Consider the following 17349-nt stretch of genomic DNA (forward strand, 5'->3'; position numbering starts at 1 on the left):
TTAGGAAAAGAGGAAGTCAAATTGTCCCTGTTTGCAGATGACATGATTGTATATCTAGAAAACCCCATTGTCTCAGCCCAAAATCTCCTCAAGCTGATAAGCAAGTTCAGCAAAGTCTCAGGATACAAAATCAATGTACAAAAATCACAAGCATTCTTATACACCAATAACAGACAAACAGAGAGCCAAATCATGAGTGAACTCCCATTCACAATTGCTTCAAAGATAATAAAATACCTAGGAATCCAACTTAAAAGGGATGTGAAGGACCTCTTTAAGGAGAACTACAAACCACTGCTCAATGAAATAAAAGAGGATACAAAGAAATGGAAGAACATTCCATGCTCATGGGTAGGAAGAATCAATATTGTGAAAATGGCCATACTGCCCAAGGTAATTTATAGATTCAATGCCATCCCCATCAAGCTACCAATGACTTTCTTCACAGAATTGGAAAAAACTACTTTAAAGTTCATATGGAACCACAAAAGAGCCCGCATCGCCAAGTCAATCCTAAGCCAAAAGAACAAAGCTGGAGGCATCACGCTACCTGACTTCAGACTATACTACAGGGCTACAGTAACCAAAACAGCATGGTACTGGTATCAAAACAGAGATATAGATCAATGAAACAGAACAGAGCCCTCAGAAATAACGCCGCATATCTACAACTATCTGATCTTTGACAAACCTGAGAAAAACAAGCAATGGGGAAAGGATTCCCTATTTAATAAATGGTGCTGGGAAAACTGGCTAGCCATATGTAGAAAGCTGAAACTGGATCCCTTCCTTACACCTTATACAAAAATTAATTCAAGATGGATTAAAAACTTAAACGTTAGACCTAAAAGTCTAGTAATTTTCTAAGCCTTGTTTGTGCAACGGATAATTACCCAAGAATAGTTCAAGAAAAAAGATTAGAAAGATTGTTCAGGCATTAAAAGGAACAAAGTATTGATATATGCTACAAGGTAGATGAAACACTGAAAACATCACCTTTAAAATGGCTAATTTTATGTTATGAGAATTTAAACTCAGTAACAAAAAGTAAAATGTTTTAAAATACACCAAAAAAATAATCAGAAAGAACTAGAAATAAGCACAATTAACATTCCTACAGCTCCTCTATCACAGATGCTGGGGTGAGGAGGCAGAGTGGTCCCATGCTGGTCTGGTCAAGATACCAATATTCTAGGGCCGGTTCAGAATTCAGGAGAGGCCATCAGGAGACAGCATTTTAATGCTAACCATGAGTACAGCTTTTACTTGGCCCACTCAGCTTCATCTTTTTTGGCTCATGGGATTCCCCACCCACCACTATCCCCACCACCACCAACTGCTCAAAGCTCACAGCCATCAGTGAAAATGGTTCTAAGAGCAGCACCTACACAATTTTTCTGAGATAAATTTCAGAGGGAATTTGCATGTAAATGTAAAATTTGAGAGAAAATAAGAGTTGTATATAACAACCAAACTGTCTACATTAGGGGTGAAAGGAAGAATTTATGGGAGAAATCTCCTACAATTTATTTAATGCAACATCCATACTGGTCTCACAAGGAACCATGTTGCTTGTAAGAACAAAATGTGTTTTATCTTATTTATTTTTATTCCCAACTTTTAAGTTCAGGGGTGCATGTGTAGGATGTGCAGGTTGGTTACATAGGTAAACGTGTGCCATGGTGGTTTGCTGCACAGATCATCCCATCACCTAGGTATTAAGACCAGCACATTAGCTATTCTTCGTGATGTGCTCCCTCCTCCCACCCCAAACCCTGCAACAGGTCCCAGTGTGTGTTTTCCTCACCCATGTGTCCATGTGTTCTCATCATTCAGCTCCCACTTATAAGTGAGAACATGTAGTATTTGGTTTTCTGTTCCTGCATTAGACTGCTGAGGATAATGGCTTCCACCTCCATCCATGTCCCTGCAAAGGACATGATCTTGTTCCTTTTTATGAATGTGGTATACATGTACCACACTTTCTTTATCCAGTCTATCATTGATGGGCATTTAGGTTGATCCCACATCTTTGCTATTGTGAATAGTGCTGGGATGAACATATGCATACATGTATCTTTATAACAGAATGATTTATATTCCTTTGGGTATATGCCCAATAATGGGACTGCTAGGTCAAATGGTAATTCTGCCTCTAGGTCTTTGGGGAATTGCCACACTGTCTTCCACAGTGGTTGAATTAATTTACACTCCCATCAACAGTGTAAAAGCACTCCTTTTTCTCCACAACCTCGCCAGCATCTATTGTTTTTCTGAATTTTTAATAATAGCCATTCTGACTGGTGTGAGATGGTATCTCATTGTGATTTGCATTTCTCTAATAATCAGTGATGTTGAGCTTTTTTTCATGTTTGTTGGCTGCATGTTCATCCTCTTTTCGTAACTGTCTGCTCATTTTCTTTGCCCACTTTTTAATGGGGTTGTTTTTTCTTGTAAATTTAAGTTCTTTGCAGATTCTGGATGTTAGGCCTTTTGTCAGACGGATAGATTGCAAAATTTTTCTCCCATTCTGTAGGTTGAGTGTTCTCTCTGATGACAGTTTATTTTGCTGTGCAGAAGCTCTTTAATTAGGTCCATTTGTCAATTTTTGCTTTTGTTGCAATTGCTTTTGGTGTCTTCGTCATGAAATCTTTGCCCATGCCTATGTCCTAAATGGTATTGCCTAGATTTCCTTCTAGGGTTTTATAGTTTTGAGTTATACATTTACGTCTTTCATCCATCTTGAGTTGATTTTTGTATAGCGTGTAAGGAAGAGGTCCAGTTTCAATTTTCTGCATATGGCTATCCAGTTCTCCCAGCACCATTTATTAAACAGGGAATTCTTTCCCCATTGCTTGTTTTTATCAGGTTTGTCGAAGATCAGATGGTTGTAGTCGTGGGTTCTTTATTTCTGGGTTCTCTCTTCTATTCCATTGGTCTATGTGTCTGTTCTTGTACTACTACCACACTGTTTTGGTTAGGGGTAGCCTTATAGTATAAAGTTGGATAGAGTGATGCCTCCAGCTTTGTTCTTTTTGCTTAGGATTGCCTTGGCTATATGAGCTCTTATTTGGTTCTATATGGATTTTAAGATAGTTTCTTCTAATTCTGTCAATGTTAGTTTAATAGGAATAGCACTAAATCTATAATTGCTTTGGGCAGTATGGCCATTTCATAATATTAATTCTTCCTATCCATGAGCATGGACTGTTTTTCCATTTGTTTGTATCGTCTCTGATCTCTTTGAGCAGTGTTTTGTAGTGCTCCTTGAGGAAATCCTTCACTTCCCTTGTTAGCTGTATTCCTAGGTATTTTATTCTTTTTGTGGCAATTGTGAATGGGAATTCATTCACGATTTGGCTCTCTGCTTGCCTGGTGTTGATGTACAGGAATGCTAGCGATATTTGCACATTAATTTTGTATCCTGAGACTTTGCTGAAGTTGCTTATCAGCTTAAGAAGCTTTTGGGCTGAGACAATGGAGTTTTCTAGATATAGGATCATGTCATCTGCAAATAAAGATAGTTTGACTTCCTCTCTTCCTATGTGAATACCCTAACCCTAACCCCAATCCTAAGCCCAACGCCATGCTCCTTTAGCTCAGTGAAGTTCGTTATTATCCACATTCTGAGGCCTACTTCTGTCATTTCAGCCATCTCAGTCTCAGCCTAGTTCTGAGCCCTTGCTGGAGAGGGGTTGCGGTCATCTGAAGGAAAAGGGGTACTCCGGCTTTTTGAGTTTTCAGCGCTTTTGTGTTGATTCTTTCTCATCTTTGTGGGCTTATCTACCTTTGATCTTTGAGGTTGTGGTCCTTTGGATGGGGTTTTTTGTTGTTGCTGTTTTCTGTTTGTTTTTCGTTTAACAGTCTGGTCACTCTTCCGTGGGGCTGCTGCTACTCAGCTTTCTACAGATTGTCTTTGAGGTGTTGAGCTCTGCCCTTCCTGCATGAAGAGCCTGCGGTCCAGGTAGAGAAATACAGGCCTTCCACTCCCACAGAGCTACCTCCCGCTGGCCCAGCTCTACTTCATGCTGCCACCCAACAGACACACCAACAGCTGCCACCTCACCATGGCTCACTGGGAACTGGAGCAGAGATGGCTGGTCACCACCACCCACAGCACGACCCTGCATGCGGAGTATACACACATGCCCCAATACCTAGGGGCCAGTCTACAAAATATATTTTAAAGACAGGAGTTACAGTGTGACTTCTGGATTATTCTCAGTCTTGTTAAATAGAAATTGTCTAAAATGCCCCTAGTGGTTTCAGGCATTGCTGGATCCAGATAACTAAACAATGTGATGAGGGTGCGCTCTTGCTCTTATCTCTGAGCTATGCTTTCCTCTGTGCTGGCTTCCTTCTCCTGCAGGCTCCACCTTACTAGAATGTGGCAAAAGTCAACATAGTAGCTCAAATTTACAACTTACCAGCTTATCAGCATCAGTATCGCAATGCTAATTCAATTAAAGAATAGCAGGCAGAAACCTGCTGCATATGGGGACTGTATCACTTCTGAGGGCCACCACAGGCAAGTACGTGCACCTCTGGTTTGAAAAGCTGGCATAGCTGACCCCAGAACGCCACACAGGGCTTAGACTAACCTGAAGACTTGGATCCAAGGGTGGATGAACCAAGCCGGCGGGTGGTTCCCATTCCAACGTTTCTCCGAGAACTTGGTGGAGCCTTGGATGATGTAGAACTAGCAGAGGAAGGTCTGTTACCATCCACAGAATCTTCATCGTCGAAATTTTTATCTGAACAGTAAGCACAGAAACCAACGTTTTTTTAAAAACAAAAACTATATATACATATATATATACTTTTTCACCTGATTATAAAACAATTAGTCTTCGAGACTGATTCTGCATACTCTTTTGGAATCTGAGGTGCTCCTCTAGGGTCTGGAAAGCCTTAGGTTAAGCCCAGAATGAAGCTACAAAGATCATACTTGCTTTCACATACCCAGAATACTTTTGCACTCAAATTTTGAAAAATAGAACAAATATAAAGAAGAAAACAATCTCTCATAAAACCACCACCTTGAAACAGTTATTTTCACATTCTGCAACATTTCTGACCATCCATGCTTTTTTTTTTTTTTTTTTTTTTTTTTTGAAGACAGAGTCTCACTGTCACTCAATCCTCCCTCCTTGGCCTCTCAAGGTGCTAGGATGACAGGCATGAGCCACTGTACTTGGTCACCTGGTACACACTTTAAACTAACAGCTGAGATGAGAGTATATATCATATTGGAATAGTGCTTACTTCAAATATGTAAATTTTTCCTCTGTGATGAAATATTTTTCATAACCACCATTTTAATAATTGTATGGTACTTTGTAAGTGGAAAATGGTACAAGTGAAACACTCTTATTGTTAGATATTTAGGGTGTTTCTAATTCCTCACCATTAGAAATGCAATATTGCCAATACTTTCCTACACTTTTTTTTGTTTGTTTGAATTTCCAATAGTTTTAGGAATGAAAACCATAGAAGCAACAATAGTAGGTCAAAGAGTGTAAAAGTTCTTGATGTATAGTGCCAAAATTATCAGAGAGGTCATATAAATGTACATTTCTCCTAGAAGTTCAAAGAAGTACTCATCCTTCCACACCATTGCCAACATTTAATATTACCATTTTTAAACTTTAATCAATCTGACAGGTGAAAAAAAAGACTTCACTTTCTATGTTGCATTTCTTTTTTAGTGAAGATGAACATTTTTTTCGTAAGTTCATTAACTTTTAAATTTTCTAAACAGCAGTGGATCCAATCAATACTCCTCAAGTTGCATTTAAAATTTTAAAAAAACACAGCTATAATCCTACCACTTTGGGAGGCCAAAATGGGAGGACTGCTTGAGGCCAGGAGTTCAAGACCAGCCTGGGCAACATAGCAAGATCCTGTCTCTTAAAAATAAAAAAATGTGTCAGATATGGCGGCGTGTGCCTGTAGTCCCAGATACTCAGAAGGCTGAGGCAGGAGCATCAACTTGAGCCCAGGAACTTGAAGCTGCAGTGAGCCAGGGTCACTCCACTACATTCCAGCCTGGGTGACAGAGCAAGACCCTGTCTCGAGAAAAAAGAAACATCTTTGGAATCTTAAAAATCAACATATTTATGCAAACACTTTAATGATGCAAAATTAAAGTTTATGTATCAAGTATAAGAGTGAGTCATTTAGGAGGCTAAACAAAGAACTTAAGAGTAATTTAAATAAAAAAAACAACATCTGTAGCTGGCAATATTCATGATTTCTGAAATGGGCATTAGTTCTTTACCAATAAGTTTGAAATAAATCATTGCTATCCAAAAAACACACAAATAGAATCCTGTTTTCCTTGATCTAGTTGCTTCTTAAGCTAAATTATCAACAGCCAAGTCTTGTGTCTACTCAAGACCCCAATGCTCCCTAAAACTCAACAACAATGCCCTCCAAATTACATGGTTCAGTTTATTCAACACAGCGTAGGGGGAGGAGGAAAGACATCTTCACAAATCCATGTCCTTATGCAGATTAGCTCCTTTCACTGTGCCTTTAAATCCCCCAGATTGTCTTGTTATGCCATTCTGTTTCAAGATGGTTCTTTCAATCCATACATCCATTTTTCATTGATTCAGATGTACAGTGCTCTTAATTAGCATAGACTTCCCGTGGATTCAGAAAGTGGTTCATAATGGCCTTCCCAAAAGGAAAATTTAAGTCTAATGTAAGGAATAAGAACAACCCAAAGGAAAAGTCACCCACTGAGTACTGCCAGCATTAGCAGTGACAAGGACAGATCTCACTCAGCCTATCTGTCCTCTGGGGAGCTCCAAGAACATACGAACTGCTGTCATTATTCTACTACCTTAAATCATAATCATTCTGCTGAGTGGGAACAGTTCCAGTCTGTGGGACAGGTAAAAAATAAATGGGAGACATGAAGACACTATCACGCTTCACTCACAAATTCATGTAAATTATGTTTAGTTCAGTCTTCTAAAATATGCAGGCATGTCATTTAGAACAGTACTCAGTTGCCAAGAATTATTTTCAATGGACCAATTTCAATGGAATTCCTGAAATTTTTGCTTGCATCAGTGATAGACTAGACGTGGATGACTTAACCTCTTGCAATAAATAGCTAGAAAACCTGACAGTATATATAAAAGAACTACGTGCAGGCACCGGACAACGGGCAGTTCAGAACTTGGCTGTTCAGCTAATTTGCATAAAGATATGGATTTGTTTGTTTCTCCCTGCAAGAAAAGAAACAAACAAGGCAAGCTATACAATCACCCCAACTTTCTGCCTGGAGGTGTTAATAATTTCCAGGTCACCAAGTACAGGGAAGGGGAACTCAAATTAAACATAGTAGCCCTACAGATTAAATACTGCAGACAGTAAAGAACAGAGTTCAGAGAAGTTGAGGGTGCTAGAAATTACAGGAAGCTACACAGAAAGAGGGCTACAGGAATGTGCTAAGTTCTAGGCCTCACGTGTGTGAGTGAACTTCCAGGAAGCAAGGCAGAAAACAACCAAGAAGGTGTGAAATGAAAAATTCTTAGAGTTTACACAAGTAGGGAAGCTCCAAACAGCCAAAGTGGAATGTTCTTGGTGACCCACCCAAGGCATTCAATGGAGACCCCCAGAGAGTCAGGTCTTAGTGAGACTGAAGTATGTCTGGAGTGCAAGTTAAATGAAATCTGCCCTATCAGAGCTTAAAAGCAGGCCTACAGGGCATTAGGCAGACCGCAAGTAACTTATCTGATTTGCCAAAACAAAGCATGATATTCCTAAAAGAAATATAACAAGACACAGACACTCAACAAGGTAATATTCACAATACACAATATCTAATAAAAAATTCCTTCACTATGTACAGAGAAGCCTTAAAAAAAAATTTCCTAAACATGACAAGAGGGAAGAAAATGTGGCCCATAATCAGGAGGGGCAAAAAAATCAGAAAATAGTAAACTTCTGAGAAATGATGAAATAAGAACATTAAACTTCTATTATAACTATGTTCAATATTAAAATACATAGACATTCATAAGAAAAAAGAAAGTTTTTTTAAAGAATCCAATGGAACTTACAGATTTTAAGAAAACATAATATCTGAAATGAAAATTTCACTGATTGAGATTAAGTGCAGACTAGACATTGTAGAAGTAAAGAAAAAAATCAGGGAACTTAAACATATAGCAATAGAATTTATCCAAAATAAGCACAGAAGCACAGAAACAAAATAGGCTGAAAAAATAAATAAACGGAATAGAGTCTCAGAGACATGAAGGATAATATCAAGCAGTCTAACACACACAACACTGCAGGCCTGCAGGACGAGGGGAAGAAGGGGAAGGACAGAAAAAGACTGAGAAATGATGGCCAAAACATTTCCAAATTTGATAGAAACTATAAACCTACAGATCCAAGAAGCTGCATGCCCCAAGCAAGACACACACACAGAAAAGCATACGGAGGCACATCATAATCAAACTGCTTAAACCCAGACAAGAGCAGCCAGGGGAAGAGACATAGCACACAGAAGAACAAGCATAAAAGCAGCAGCAGACTTCATCAGAAACCCTGCCAGCCAGAACACAATGGAAATGATGCTTGAAAATGGTATTCACCTAGAAGTACCCTAGAATTCTATATCCAGTGAAAACATGTTAAGAATAAAGGCAAAATAAAAACTCAAACAAACAAAAATTGTCATCAGCAGACCCGCACTTCAAGAAATGTAACAGGAAGATCTTCAGGCAAAAGGAAAAATGATACCAGTTGGAAACTTGGATTTAGATAAAGAAATAAAGAACAGTAGATACAGTAAATATGTGGATAAATATAAGACTTTCTCCTCATATTTTATTATTTATTCTCCTGTTTTAATTCTTTCACATTATCATTTCTATAAAAGATGACTGACTGTTTAAAGCAAAAATATTTAGCTTTCATTCTTTTTATATTCTTATGTAATAGGCCAATAACCTGGGGGCCAGAGGAACCAAAATTAGGATATATGTTGCTGTACTAGATGACACACACAAAACTATACAGGAAGTAAGGCACAGGGAAGGCATGAAGAAAATGGAAGTGGTTCCATTTCCATCCTCAAAGAGCATATATTTTTCAAAGTTAATCATAACTTGTCTAAATTGCCTGAAGATGTCACACAATAGTGTATCACAAACCTTACTGAGAAGACATGCCCTTCATCACCAACACCTGTATGTAATGCTGCCCAAAGAAGGGAAGGAGGAGGCCAGGCGAGGTGGCTCACGCCTGTAATCCCAGCACTTTGGGCGGCCGAGGCAGGCAGATCACGAGGTCAGGAGATAGAGACCATCCTGGCTAACACGGTGAAACCCCGTCTCTACTAAACATACAAAAAATTAGCCGGGCATGGTGGTGGGTGCCTGTAGTCGCAGCTACTCGGGAGGCTGAGGCAGGAGAATGGCGTGAACCCAAGAGGCAGAGGTTGCAGTGAGCCAAGATCGCATCACTGCCCTCCAGCGTGGGTGACAGAGCGAGACTCCGTTTCAAATAAAAAAGAGAAGGAGGAAAGGGCATACTGAGCAGCCAATGTAGGGCTTTTTAAACCGAACTTTAGGAGGCTGCTTGTCTTTTTACTTACCCTTTGGAAACAAATCTAACAAGCTTACTTAGCTGATTTCCTAAGCAGATTAGAAGCAACTAACTATAGGGATAGTGAGAAGGAGGACGCAAGAATTAAGCAAAGTAATGTTAATAAGTGAGCTGAAGGCCTAATAGCCTAATAGAAACTACGAAAAGCAAACACATGCACATAAAAACCCCTAAACCCAAAATGCTTAGAATACAGTTGACAGTACAGGGGTCAAATCACATCTATACAATAACAGCACAATGACCCTGCACAACAACTTAAGATTCAATTTTTCAATGATCTGTGAGTTAGTGAAGGAAGTAATTCACATTTCCCATCTCGATTGGAAATTCAGGAAAACAAAGGATAAAAAGTGTATTTATTTTCTAGATTAAGAGCTGGACACAATGCTTTGAACTGAAACACCTGCAAAGGCTTTTGGAGGATAAAAACCAACTGAGCCAATTATTTGAAAACTTAACTAACATACTGTTTAAAAATAAGTTTAGCCTATGTTTCCTAGCTTTTCAGATATCAGAAATTAAGATTCAATTTAAAAGGAGGCTGGGTCATCAGAAAGGTACCTAGTTTCAGTTAACTGGGAAATTCCACTATGTGGAATGAGCCATTCTTTAACTGGGCAAATAAGCTGTATCTGCAACTGGACCATGGTTACAGTCCAGGATGAAGAGTCTCACATCCAGGTTCTAACGTTACAGTATTTCTCAGCTAAATTAACCCATACTGAACTCTACTAGCCATTTGGATTCCCATTTTCTTTAGGCTTTTCTGCTAAGCATACGTCTGGTAGTATCTAACCTCTTTTTCTAGTGCTTTAACTAAGGCAGAAATGGGTAAAAATGAGTATTTTTAACTGCAGGCTTGTGCCATTACATCAATTTTAACATTTTCACATAATACATATGTTACACATAAAATCGTCTTAAGGGGAAGTTCTCTTTAAGCCCACAGAAATAATTAATTGTATCTTCAGCCCCACTGCAGACTGCCATGGGAGGGCCACTTCTCTCATCTGATAGTCTCGGGTAGAAATCTGAAATAAGCAGATGGAAGCCTTCAGTTCCTAGCAAGCATCACCTCCTTTGATTCTTTAAAAATCACCTGAGCTCCATTCCACCTTCTACAGCATCAGGATAAACCACTTAAAAATGACTCATGAAATTTCTACAGAGTGATACTATAATTTTCATCCAACCCTGAATCACCCCACCCCTGGCAATCCAAATAAGTAGACATAATGAAGGGAAAAATAGCAGTAAAACAGTAAAAATAAAGCCAGATTACAAACACAATCATCCATGGCCTTAGAAGCAAACTAGCAGACTTCCAGAAGCTGAACAGGTCTACTACTGAGGTCCAGATGCTGCAGAGAGGCTGAGGGATAGCCAGGGCCAGCACTAGGAGGTCAGAACCAGTCCCTTCAGCAGCCTCCACTGAAGTCCCTAAGAAAGCCCCAGCAGAGCCCAGCTGCCCCAGAACTGAACTTTAACCAGGCTGCATAGGGGAGATACCAAGCAACAAGCCACAGACAGATCAGAAGGAATATACCACTGTGGCTACAAGTTTGGCTATGAGGGGCAGAGATATCAATCTAAAGACAAACATGAATTCAAGTCTGGTGTCTGGAACTTGTAATTAGAAGCTTTGGGCCATACTGTTCGCTCGGAAAATTTAAACACTCATCTATAACGACCAACAAAAAGTCACAGAAACTAAGAAATAACTGCTCATTGCCTATCTGCCAGGAAAGCCAGAACCTAAACTACAAAGCTTTTCCTTCTCTTCTTCTGAGGCAGGCTTTGATGGATAGAAGCCCAATGGGGAGAAAATGCCTCATTTTCTAAAGAAAAGACAACTATCTCTCTGCTTCACTGCAGCAGGGTCACTTTGAAGAAGCTGCTATCCTGACAGGCTTTCAGATTCACCCACTCCCTGCTAATTGAGATTCTCCTCCAAGGGAGTAAGAAATGTGGCAGCCTACTAACTAGACTATAATTAGCTCTCTCAAGAGGAAGCTGCACAGAGACAGGATAATGAGCCCAAAGGCGGCTGCTTTTCATAAATATCCCAAAATTTCTTTCTTCTTGAATTTGCAGAGCTCCAAACCTTTTGCAAAGGCTGTTTCTGCTATCTGCAATTCTTGTCCTGTCTGCCAGACACACCCCTATGCATTCTTGAAAACACAAGTCTACTGCTAGCCTGAGATCCTGCCCGGCTCTAACTTGCGTGTACCATTTACTTCATTGCCCCCTGAAATTAGCTGGCTGCAGATCTGTTTGGTCTCTCTGTCCCTGGAGTAGGGACCACTTTGTATTCTTCTTGGTATTTACAACATCTAGAACAGAGTCTGGGCCAACACCCAGTAGACATTCAGAAAAATTTAATTCTGGTAGTCCACATGAAGAAAGGCAAAATTTGTGAATGGATGAAAATCTTTTCTCATATATCTTTTTTAGAAGCTTTTATTACTTTTTTAACGTGCATATGGTTTAATTGGATAATAAATTCAAACAAGGCTATGAAAATAACTGAAGACAAATCAACAAAGACAATTAAAACCTCAAATACTTTTTAAGCTTCCAAATTTTCCTGCTAGAAAGAAATGTATATCCTTCTTTCCTGATAAAACATATACCTATTTTAAAATTAAGTCATAGTTCCACTATAAGCAATATAAGCTCCCCAAATTAAACTAACACTTTGATATATATGTATTTCTAGACTTTAATGCATTCATAAACATGAATTCTATACACACATGCATAAAAACTGCTTTTTTGCACGCCAATATTTTTCTAGATCAATATTAATCTAGTCAATTTTAAAGACTACTTATTGTGACACTTTGTGCATAGACTATATTTAATCAATCATCTATTTATTGATATTGAATTGTTTTCAATTTTTCACCTTCATAATACCACTGCAGTCAGTATGCTTAAAAGTAACAAGAAAAGTAACAACTAATAGAATCACAGCACACAACTGTGTACCAGGTCCTGGGTTTGGTTTTGCATAGTCACATTAAATCCTCCTGACAACGCTGAGAGAAGGACTATTGTCACTTTGGTCTTAAAGCAATTCCCATAAGCTGATGCTTAGGAGGTGCTGGGCACTGTGCTAAGTATGTTCTGCACATTGTGTTGTTTAATTCTTACTGCATATGTTTGCTTACTTAAAATTATTTAAGATAATTTCTCAAGTACAGTATCTTCAATATCTCTTATGAACATTAAAAATCCTCAAAAAATACTAGCGAACCAAATTCAGCAACATATAAAAATAATTAACATTATAGCCATGTGCGACTTATCCCAGGAATGTAATGTTTGTTCAATATACATCATAGTTGTCATATTAATATAATAAAAGACAAAAAACAACATATTCTCTAAACACAGTAAAACGCTTTCATGCTAAAAACACTACAAGCAGGGATTAGAAGAGAACTCCCGCAACCTGATAAAGACCACCTACAGGCTGGGCACAGTGGCTCACATCTGTAATCCCAGCACTTTGGGAGGCCAAGGCGGGCGGACTGCCTGAGGTCAGGAGTTCCAGACCAGCCTGACCAACATGGTGAAACCTCATCTCTACTAAAAATACAAAAATGAGCCCAGCGTGGCAGCACACTCCTGTAATCCCAGCTACTCAGGAGGCTGAGGCAGGAGGATCGCCTGAAGCCAGGAGGGGGAGGTTGCAGTGAGCTGAGATTGCGCCACTGCACTCCAGCCTAGGCGATGGAGCCAGACTCCGTCTCAAAACACACACACACACCACACACACACATACACACACACACACCCCCCACACACACACACCCCCCACACACACCACACACACACCCCACACACACAACCACACCCCACACACACAACCACACACACACCACACACACACCCCACACACACCACACACACACCACACACCCCACACACACACCCCACACACACCACACACCACACACACACCCCACACACAACCACACACCACACACCACACACACACCACACACCACACCACACACACACCACACCACACACACACCACACACACACACCACACCACACACACCACACACACACCACACAACACCCCCCACACACACACCACACACACACACCACACACACCACACACACACCACACACCCCACACACACACCACACACACACACCACACACACACACACCCCACACACACACACACCCCCCCCCCACACACACACACACACACCATCAACAACATGGTGAAAGACCGGATGCTTTCCCCCTAAGACCAAGAACAAGGGAAGATGTTTACTCTCACTACTTCTATTCAACATTGTGGTAGACGTGCTAGCCAGGGAAATCCGACCAGAAAAAGAAAAAAAAAAAGCATGCAGACTGGATTGGAAGAACTAAAACTATCTCCATTTACAAATGACTTGATTTGGTATGTAGAAAACACTAAAGAATGCATGCAAAAACTTAGAACCAATAAACAAGTTCAGTGAGGTTACAGGATATAAAACCAATATTTAAAAATCCATCGTATATTCTATACATCAAATTAAGAAAACAACAATAGCATCAATAAAAACACCTAACAACTTCAACAAAAGGAAACTACATAACATTCTTAAGATCCAGTAAAGACAAACCTAATAAGTAGAAAGATATTCCATGTTCATATATCAGAGGAATTTTTGCTCATTATCCAAACTATATTCCTTGCCCATCTGTTTCCTCTTAATTTTAACCGAAGTTGGATAAATAGAAAAGTGTAAAAGTGCAAAACACACTGTCTGAATTGAATGGCTGGATAAAGACTTTTTCTTCTAAGTTCCTACCTCCCCTTCTCCATCAAAGTATGGGAACTGGGGTACACGTATCACCCCCAATCCAGTCAATATGGACCAGTGTTATTAGGGCCGGTTCTACCACTCTGTACAAAAAATCTTCCAATATCCATATTCTGAAACAAAAATCCCTCTCCCTGTTTACAAAATTAAGGAAGGCTTTTGTCAGAACACAGGGAATATAAAAATTTCCAGCTTGGCTGGAAATGTTGGCATTTTTGACAATACAAAGGTGGAAATGGCATAATAGAAGCTCTGAGGGTGCTAGCAGAGTGCTACTTCTGCCCTTTGGCACCAGTAATCCATCCTCTACCACAGAAGTGAGCGTGGAATGCAATCACGTTCCATTCCTTCCACCCAAAAGCTTGCTGCCAAAAAGCTGGGCTGGCATTTTAAGACGATCTCAACAATGACACCACTGGTACAGATAACGTGAGAAGAGAGAACTAGAGCACAGACAGGTGACAACTCAAAATTCATTTCAGCTTTACTAGTCCTTCACAAAGGGAGGTCAAATGGGACGACACCGGGGAAAGACAGGCAAGGAAAACACCATCGGAAACTGGAGAGGTAAATGAACTGTGAGGAGGGCAGAAAGCCAATTTCCACAGATGCCTGCTCCTTAAGGCACTGTAGGAGCTCAAAGTTCACACTGGGTAAGAGCTGCTGAGTGCCCCCTGCAGGTGCAGATCAAGGCACAATTCCTCTTTGGGTCTCAGGTGGAAAATGCCCTGGCTGCTGCTACATAACTTATAACCAGGCTCCAGAGAGATGCAGGCATACTCACAACAGAGGAGCCCAGGGATGATTCTGTGCAGGAAGAAATCCACAGCTCGCACTGGGTAGTGAGCCTGTCCTGGGGCAGAGCTGTAACGTCACAGGCCTGCACTTTCAGCAAGACCAACCTCATTTGAGGTATAAAAAGAAAATGAAGAGAGATAGGCTTCTGTTTCCCTGTGTGAAAAAGGATGATCCTGTCTACCTATGAAATGTGCTGCCCACCCAATATCAACCCCCTTCTTCTACTGACAGCCCAGGGTAACCACCCTCCCCCACTCTCAGAGTGATGACACCTTTGTTTGCCTCAGTGGAACCTGGCCACAGCATCAGGGCTCTCCCAACCCATTACGGTAATTAATTCTAGAACCTCTCTTCTTGTGGACTTAGAGCTATGCAGGTACAAGCCTGGAGCTGTTGGAGCCAACAAATGGCAGTGCCTGCCTAAGAGAGAGGCAAAGCAAAAGAAAGCAGAGTCAGGGGCAGTGAGAACCGACGTCTAATGCCTGGCATGCGTCCAAAGGAGGACCGCAAGACCCACACACCCAGACTTCTCAGTTCCATGAGCCAAGTCACTCCCCTTCTCCCTTACACCACTTGGAATGAGGCCTGCATTGCTGGCAACCCAAAGCATCTCTGTACTATATCAAAGGGATGTAATGCAGATTAGACAAAATGCATTAAAGACAGGAAAACCATAAGTATGGGACAAATGGCAGCTATTTTATACCCTCATTATTTGTGCTATGCTTTGCGTGCAAAAAACCAGCTCTTCAAAAATATTTCAATAGAAGTGAGGAATTAGGAACATAATTTTCTTTAAAAATGGGCTTAAAAGGCCATACAACTAATTCAAATTAGGCAGCCAAAAAAAAAATGTATGGACATTATTGAGACATGGAGGTTAAACCACCTTCTCTAGAACTGATTCCAAAGGTTAAAACCACCTTCTCTAGAACTGATTCCAAAGGGAAAGTATCCATTTCCCCTTTGTCAAGCGTCCTTAGGAGGTCTCAATGACAATTTTCTCAGGGTCACAGGAAAGAAAATAATTTGTCATTTGTAAGCAAAAGAAAAAAGCTCAATTAGGAATATGCTTTCATCAAGTGGAATCAATGTTTTAAACTCTCTCCAAATCCTCCATGCCCTGTAACTTGGAAGTTCAAGTCCAGAGCACAGGGTCACCTTACAGGTGATTTGGTCTCAAACTAATCATTTTGTTACTTCTGTAATAAAACCGGACTCCCAGAGCACCAGTCTTGCCCTAGCCTCTACCACTGGAAGGCTACTGGAGAGGATACCGCCTCTGAATACCAATAGGTGACCATGTGCATCTTCCTTCTTCTCTCCAGCATTTCTCTAGTAAGCATGCTTGTGTCTGAAGTACTTTGTTGGGAGCTGGGATGCAGAAAGGGAAGTCATGGTTCTCACTCTGGAGTGCAGTCCAACGTGGGAACACACACAATCAACAGCATGTAGGATTCAGTGTGAGGTTTTCCTAACAGCACACACACAATATGACCTATGAATCCAAAATAGGGCCAAACAAATTTAGAAAGGATCCACTGTGCCCACCAACCAACCCTCGGATGTGACCCGTACTACGTGGGTCCATTTAACATTAACTGAGAGTGTGAGCGGCTTTAAATGTGTGCACATCCTACTTAACTCAGGAATACCCTGGGCTACCATGCTCAGTGAATATACAGCGAGAGAGAACAAATTCCAAAGACTCTTCCTGAACAGATGTAGCAGGGGCAAGGAACTCCTGACAGGGGATAATGAACAAACTAGCCAGCTTCCCTCTGCACCTGGACAGGCCCAGGTGCCCCACTACTCTGCGAGTGTGCCCATCGGGACACTAGGGAACAGAGAATTAAAGACAAAGTCTCCAAGTCATGTCCAGGAGTTAGGGTTCCTGAAGTTAGAATCTCTTGGCCAAACTGGAGGCCCAGTTTAAGTTAACCCTGTTAATACTATGCCTTCCTCAGAGAAAAGAACTTACAGCGACACGCCAAGAGTGACTAAGATCAGTCTTGAAGAAGAGTATCTCTAAACATATGTCAGAAAGACTATAAACTTACCCTTAGAGCCAAAAA

General features: G+C 40.6%; 1 protein-coding gene across 37 annotated transcripts in view; it reads right to left on the reverse strand.

Moving 5' to 3' along the window:
- CLASP1 (cytoplasmic linker associated protein 1) overlaps positions 1–17349 on the reverse strand; it is a 311687-nt gene that overhangs the window by 127431 nt on the left and 166907 nt on the right. For all 37 annotated transcript variants that reach the window (XM_047443792.1, XM_047443782.1, XM_006712383.2 and 34 more), the window contains one exon: positions 4602–4754. In XM_047443792.1, the coding sequence (XP_047299748.1) occupies positions 4602–4754 (153 nt within the window). The remainder of the gene's footprint in view (positions 1–4601; positions 4755–17349) is intronic.

Source organism: Homo sapiens, chromosome 2 (genome assembly GCF_000001405.40).
Source record: "Homo sapiens chromosome 2, GRCh38.p14 Primary Assembly".
Classification (NCBI taxonomy): Eukaryota; Metazoa; Chordata; class Mammalia; order Primates; family Hominidae; genus Homo; species Homo sapiens.